Source organism: Homo sapiens, chromosome 12 (assembly GCF_000001405.40).
Source record: "Homo sapiens chromosome 12, GRCh38.p14 Primary Assembly".
Lineage (NCBI taxonomy): Eukaryota > Metazoa > Chordata > Mammalia > Primates > Hominidae > Homo > Homo sapiens.
In genome coordinates, this window is record NC_000012.12 from 11,512,091 (window position 1) to 11,519,129 (window position 7,039).

At 38.4% G+C, this 7,039-nt stretch overlaps 1 pseudogene; it reads left to right on the top strand.

Moving 5' to 3' along the window:
* Positions 634–2,248, top strand: DDX55P1 (DEAD-box helicase 55 pseudogene 1; annotated as a pseudogene).
* The last annotated feature ends 4,791 nt before the right edge of the window (positions 2,249–7,039 follow it).

Consider the following 7,039-nt stretch of genomic DNA (forward strand, 5'->3'; position numbering starts at 1 on the left):
ACTGAAGCAATCAGACTACTATCCTTCTAACTGGTAGATATGATGTGGAAATGTTAAGTTTATTTATGAAAAATGAATCATATCATTTTGAAACCTTAGGAGAGGATAGGTCAAGGCTGACTGGCAGGCAGGGCAATGGCAGGTGTAGGGAAGTGGACTGCAGGCAGCCAGGGCAGACATGCTTACCAGGAAATGAGCAATTGAACATGGAAAAGAGGGCAGGATAAGTGGAAACATCTATTTAAAACTTTGGTTTATCATCTATGAAGGTCAGAAAGAATAAATGATTCTAGGCCAGATGCAGTGGCTCATGCCTGTAATCCCAGCACTTTGGGAGGCCAAGGCGGGCAGATCACCTGAGGTCAGGAGTTCAAGACCAGCCTGGCCAACATGGTGAAACCCTGTCTCTACTGAAAATACAAAAATTAGCTGGGCGTGATGGTGGGCGCCCGTAATCCCAGCTGCTCAGGAGGCTGAAACAGGAGAATCGCTTGAACCTGGGAGGTGGAGGTTGCAGTGAGCTGAGATCATGCCATTGCTCCCAGCCTGAGTAACAAGACTGAAACTCCATCTCAAAAAAAAAATAATAATAAACGATTCTCCTCTGCTCTCAGGATCTCCTCTGTTCCAAGTTTAAGAGTTTAAGCAACAAGGTGGGAACATCACTGTGGCCATTCCAGGCCACTTGAAGACAGGTTCTGAAGGAAGGCAGAAGGCTTGTATCTGGCCAGCTGTGTGTGATCCCTGCATATCCTGGTGTTGGATGAGGCAGACAGACTTCTGGACATGGGATTTGAGGCAAGCATAAATACCATCCTGGAGTTTTTGCCAAAGCAGAGGAGAACAGGCCTTTTCTCTGCCACTCAGAAGCAGGAAGTGGAGAACTTGGGGAGAGTGGGATGCCGGAACCCTGTCCAGTCTCAGTGAAGAAGGGTGTGGCAGCCAGCAGTGCCCAGAACACCACTCTCCCCTGGAAAACTACTACATGGTATGCAAGGCAGATGAGAAATTTAATCAGCTGCTACATTTTCTTCGCAGTCATAAGCAAGAGCAACACCTGGTCTTCTTTAGCACTTGCACCTGTGTGGAATACTACAGGAAGGCTCTGGAGGTGCTGATGAAGAGTGTGAAGATTGTGTGCATCCATGGAAAGATGAAATACGATCTTCATGCAAATTGAAAATTGCAATTGTTCTGCAAATTGCAAAGTGGAATTTTAGTGTGCACTGATGTGGTGGCCCAGGAATCAATGTTCCTGAAGTAAACTGGGTTTTGCAGTACAATCGCCCCTACAATGCAAGTGCCTTTGTGCAGCACTGTAGCCGCACAGCCCTCATTGGCCACAGAGGCAGAGCTCTGGTGTTCCTCCTGCCCGTGGAAGAGTCATACATCAATTTCCTTGCAATTAACCAAAAATGCCCCCTGGCGGAGATGAAACTCTAGAAAAACACAGCTGACCTTCTGCCAAAACTCAAGTCCATGACCCTGGCAGAAAAATCTGTGTTTGAAAAGGGCATGAAAGCTTTTGTGTCCTATGTCCAGGCTTATGCAAAGTAAGAATGCAACCTGATTTTCAGATTAAATAATCTTGATTTTGCAAGTCTTGCTCGAGGTTTTTCCCTGCTGAGAATGCCCAAGATGCCAGAATTGAGAGGAAAGCAGTTTCCAGATTTTGTGCCTGTGGACATTAATACAGACACTATTTCATTTAAAGATAAAATTAGAGAAAAGCAGAGGCAGAAATTACTGGAGCAACAAAGGAAAGAGAAAAACAGAAAATGAAGGGAGAAGAAAATTCATAAAAAATAAAGATTGGTCGAAGCAGAAGGCCAAAAAAGAGAAGAAGAAAAACATGAATGAGATAAGGAAAAGGGAAGCATGTTCTGATACAAAGATGAGGACATGGAAGAACTTCTCAATGATTCAGAGCTCTTGAAAAAAATTTTTAAAGGCAAAATTACTGAAGAATTTGAGAAGGACTTATTGACAAGTGGCAAAAGAACAATCAAGACAGCCAATTTAATGTCTCAGATTTGGAAGATGACTGCTAATACCAGGGCCACAGATAAACCCATAAGGGCATAGCTGTTTCCTAACTTGGTGGATGATTCCTATTTGCTTTTACCGCAAATCAAAACTTCAGGAGACATCTGAGAAGAATTACATCTCTGAAAGCTCTCCTTTCAGACTAGGGAGAAATGAGGGATTTCACACTCATGAATATTTGACTAAAAACATTCCAGTCTTGAAGTAGTTGAACAGAAGAAAATGTAAAATTATTTGAGTGTAAATAATAGATTTCCATATTTATTTATTATGATGGGTCATATATGTGTGTGTGTGTGTGTGTGTGTGTGTGTGTGTGTGTGTGAGCTCATTTTTTCCAAGGCTATTTTATAGTTATTTGCAAACATTAAGATACTGAAGTATACTTGGTTTTAAATTTTTAAAGGCCCCTAAGTACTTTTAGGCACCTGACGTCCCTGAGTGTTCTTGGCCCTGGACTTCAGTTATCCTTCAATGCCCTGCAGAGGTGGCTAATGTGCTGAAGTTTTTCTATGTTAAGAATAGTCCTGGCCGGGCGCGGTGACTCACGCCTGTAATCCCAGCGTTTGGGAGGCCGAGTCGGGCGAATCACGAGGTCAATAGATCGAGATTATCCTGGCCAACGTGGTGAAACCCCATCTCTACTAAAAATACAAAAATTAGCCGGGCGTGGTGGCACGAGCCTGTAGTCCCAGCTACTCGGGAGGCTGAGGCAGGAGAATTGCTTGAACCCGGGAGGTGGATGTTGCAGTGAGCCGAGATCGTGCCACTGCACTCCAGCCCGGTGACAGAGAGAGACTCCATCTCAAACAAACGAACAAAAAGAATAGCCCCAGTATTGTTTTATTGGTGAACAGCTGAAAAACAGAGAAATTAAGTCGTATTTTGGGAAAGATAATTCTAATTTTTATGCCTTCTGTTGAATAAACTGTGTCCTTCTAAAAAACAGAAATGATAAGCATTTGGATAGTTAATATAATTGAACAAATAAATACATATGTGCATATATATTTATAATATACTTTTGAAGAGAATATTTTTAAAATACAGTGAACACTGATTTTTTTAATAATACAGTTTGGTTTGGTAAAAATGAATAATTTAAAAATGTGTCCAAGTATTAAGGGCTCATTTACTCATCTTTCTCTACTTTTTACCAAGAATTTTTTATAAAAACAGAGGAACAAATTTGAAGTATTTTCTCTTCTTCGTGACTTTGCCTTTAGAAATAGATGTTAATGAACTGTGAAATGGACACAAGTGGGTAAAAAAATGAGTTGAAATGGACATGTGAGTGTAAACTGGGCATAAATGGAAAAAGGGAAGAGTCTAATGGTTTCAGTTCCAAATTCAATACCTGGGAACTATTGGCCTGATGGCTTCATCTTTAGAATGAAGTAGATAAAAACCCAAATTGTTGCATTCTTTAAAAATAGCATTCAGTCATTAATGAAAGAATTTTAAGGTTGATGAGTGGTGAAATATAATTCTAAATTATATGAGGTAAAATGTCTTTCTAACATGTTCAACAATTCCTTTAGTAATATCAATTTTTGAGCATAAGTGGTATTTGAGCAATAAAAAATACACAGTATAAAGGACAGGTCACATAGAGTGTGACATTCCAACTGAACAACTGAATAACCTATTTAATTTAACTTAAAAATGTCTAATTTTCATTAAATAATGCTTCACCAACTTAACATAATGATTGGTTTGGTAATCCTTTTAATTGGACTTTTTAATGATTTAGGAATATAAAATTGTTTAAATAATTCATGCCATCTTAGTTGTCATTTTAAATTTATGTAATTGGTAGAAAATGTAAAAATATGTTTTTAAAATGCCTTTTAAATGCTTGTTGTTGGCAGTAATTTTTTTTTTTTTTTTTTTGGAGTCTCACTCTGTCACCCAGGCTGGAGTGCAATGGCATGATCTCGGCTCACTGCAACCTCTGCCTCCAGGGTTCAAGCAATTCTCCTGCCTCAGCCTCCCAAGTAGCTGGGATTACAGGCACGTGCCACCACACCTGGCTAATTTTTGTATTTTTAGTACAGAAGGGGTTTCACCATGTTGGTCAGGCTGGTCTCGAACTCCTGACCTCAGGTGATCCACCTGCTTTGAACTTCCAAAGGCAATAAATTTTAATCAACTATTTTTCAACTTTATTTCTGCAGTGAGGCAACAATTTTTGAAAGTGGTTATACTTCTAATCTCAAACATAGCTTTGTGAAGAGCCACATGGAGGAAAGGAATTAATAGTCAAAAGGTATAACACGAGACTCCAACCTTGAGAAGGTGATCCTGGCATAGCGCATGATACTGTCAAAATCATATCTTTCTTCAAGTGAGTTTACTTCTCCAGGATCCCTCTTCATAAAATTGTACTCTTCACCTAAGAACCAGGGATAAACAGAATCTTAGAAGCCTTTTCACTGACAGAAAAGAGAACAGAAAAGTCCTTTCTACACCTGTATCTGTTATGAAATGAATGATTTTCTTGCTGGTTGTATTTACAAACTTAACACCCAGGCACATGCAAAAAGCATATGTCTTAACTCTGTTATCACATTGAAATGCAATATTGAATAGGACCAATCCATTAATTTATTCAAGAAAGTAGGCTACCAAAAGCATAATTTGAGCTTTTTTTATATGTATACTCTTTTACTACCTCACAATAATATTTATTTCTTTAAAATTTTACTGCTTTTTGGTACTGTATAAATGATTATAAAAAGTTATGTTTTCATCTAATGAATTTCCCACTTTTATGACTAGATTTGCCAGGTCTCACAAAAATTATCTTCCTGCTTGGTTTAAATCCTTTCTATAAACAATATGAAAAGATATAAAAACAATATTAGTATAAACACAACTCTACAGGCTTTGGCTATGTGACTTCATCACTCAAGATTAAACAACAGCAGCAAATTCTCTACTTTCTTTTTTTTTTTTTTTTTTAAGACAAGATCTCTCTCTGTCACCCAGGCTGAAGTGCGGTGGAATGATCTTGGTTCACTGCAGTCCCCCAACCTCCAGGGCTCAAGGGATCCTTCCACCTCAGCCTTCTACGTAACTGGGATTACAAGCCAGTGTCACCAGGCCCAGCTAATTTTTGTTTTTTTGTTTTGTTTTGTTTTGTTTTGTTTTTAGAGACGGGGTTGCATCTCTACTTTCATTTAAAAATGAAACAAGGTTCTCCTTGATGAAAAAGAGCTTCTACTTTGAGATCAAGAACATACTTCAGAACTTTTTTTTAACTTCTGAACATCTTTTTTGTTGTTGTTGTTTTGTTTTTTGTTTTTTTTGAGACGGAGTCTCGCTCTGTCGCCCAGCCTGGAGTGCAGTGGTGCGATCTCGGCTCACTGCAAGCTCCGTCTGCTGGGTTCAGGCCAGTCTCCTGCCTCAGCTTCCTGAGTAGCTGGGACTACAGGCGCCTGCCACCACACCCGGCTATTTTTTGTTTTTGTTTGTTGTTTGTTTGTTTGTTTGTATTTTTAGTAGAGACGGGGTTTCACCGTGTTAGCCAGGATGGTCTCGATCTCCTGACCTCGTGATCTGCCCGCTTTGGCCTCCCAAAGTGCTGGGATTACAGGCGTGAGCCACCGCACCCGGCCACATCTTCATTTTTAATAGATTTTTCCAACTATCTGTTTGTATCTACATTATAGTATTCTTTCTTGAAATTTGAAAAGAACACAGACTTAAATATGTAGGTCTACATCAATGGTTTCAGAAACAAAGATTTTCTTCACATAGAGTTTAAGTGTCAGTGACTCATTTTTACAATTTAAACAGCCAAAGATAGTGCAAGTCATAAGATTTGTGTTACTTTAAAAAGCTTTGAAACATCAAAATACAAAGATGTGCTATTGGAATTCCAATTTTATGTTTGGAGCTCAAAATGGAACTACTATGCCACTCATCTATGTAGGTTTTTATTCCAAGTGCCATATTTTAATAATATATAAAAAAAAAAACAATAAAGAAACTGAGAGATGCCACAGGTTATAACGTCTCTGCTTACATGTGATAAAGGAAATCTGGTATATTCATTTGAGCATTAAGGAGGAGAAATCAATCAGGAGTTACAAACTAAAGTGTTTTAGCCCCGCTTTGAATGAATTCACATAATAAATAATTTTAAATTAACTAACCAGACCTTATGGTAAAATATGTGGTCCACCATTTCTGTGTCTGTCTATGTCATAACTGCTTTTCAGAAAGACCCTGCCTTCTCTTCAACCCCTCATAGAGGCAACTGGTAAAGCTCCTGTCCTATAAGGAATTTTAAGTACAAGATAGCATATCCAATTGTAAGGACAGATTTTCAAAAAGGTACAGACCTCATTACACAGGTGGTAACCCATAAGATTTCAATTTACAGCATAATATAAGAATAGACTCTCTAACTAAAGCAAAATACTCCATAAAAATTTGTGAAACTAAAACATTAAGCAACAGCAATAGATTCCATTGCATATAACTGAGAACACGTACACGACACGCTATTTTTTTGTTAGTTAAAAAGAACATGGCCACACGTAGTCCAAATAAAAGAAAATTAGACATTTCATGAAAGAAGCAAAGAGAAACAGAGATGCATAGCACCAAGGGAAACCATATTTACCCATTTAAAAATGGCAAACTCTTGAAAGCATATTCTAATGTGGATTAAAGTAATCCAATCTTAACACTGATAGGGTTCCTATCATAATCACTTATTTTGCATATAAACATAAAGCTAAAGTTTGTGCTTATTAGGCATCACCCTTGAATAACACTTGATCTTGTTTCTTAGTGAGGGCAAGTCACACTCTTGTTGAAGGTTCATCTCCAACCTGAACACTTTCACACTGGAATTGCTCTGCTATAGTACTTCCAATTACTCAGGAAACCTCACCCAATAAATTGTTTTCTCCATTGGCCTGAACGTTCAGTCAAAGAATATTAAGAGCCATAATTTACTTAGCACTGTTTTAGGATTATA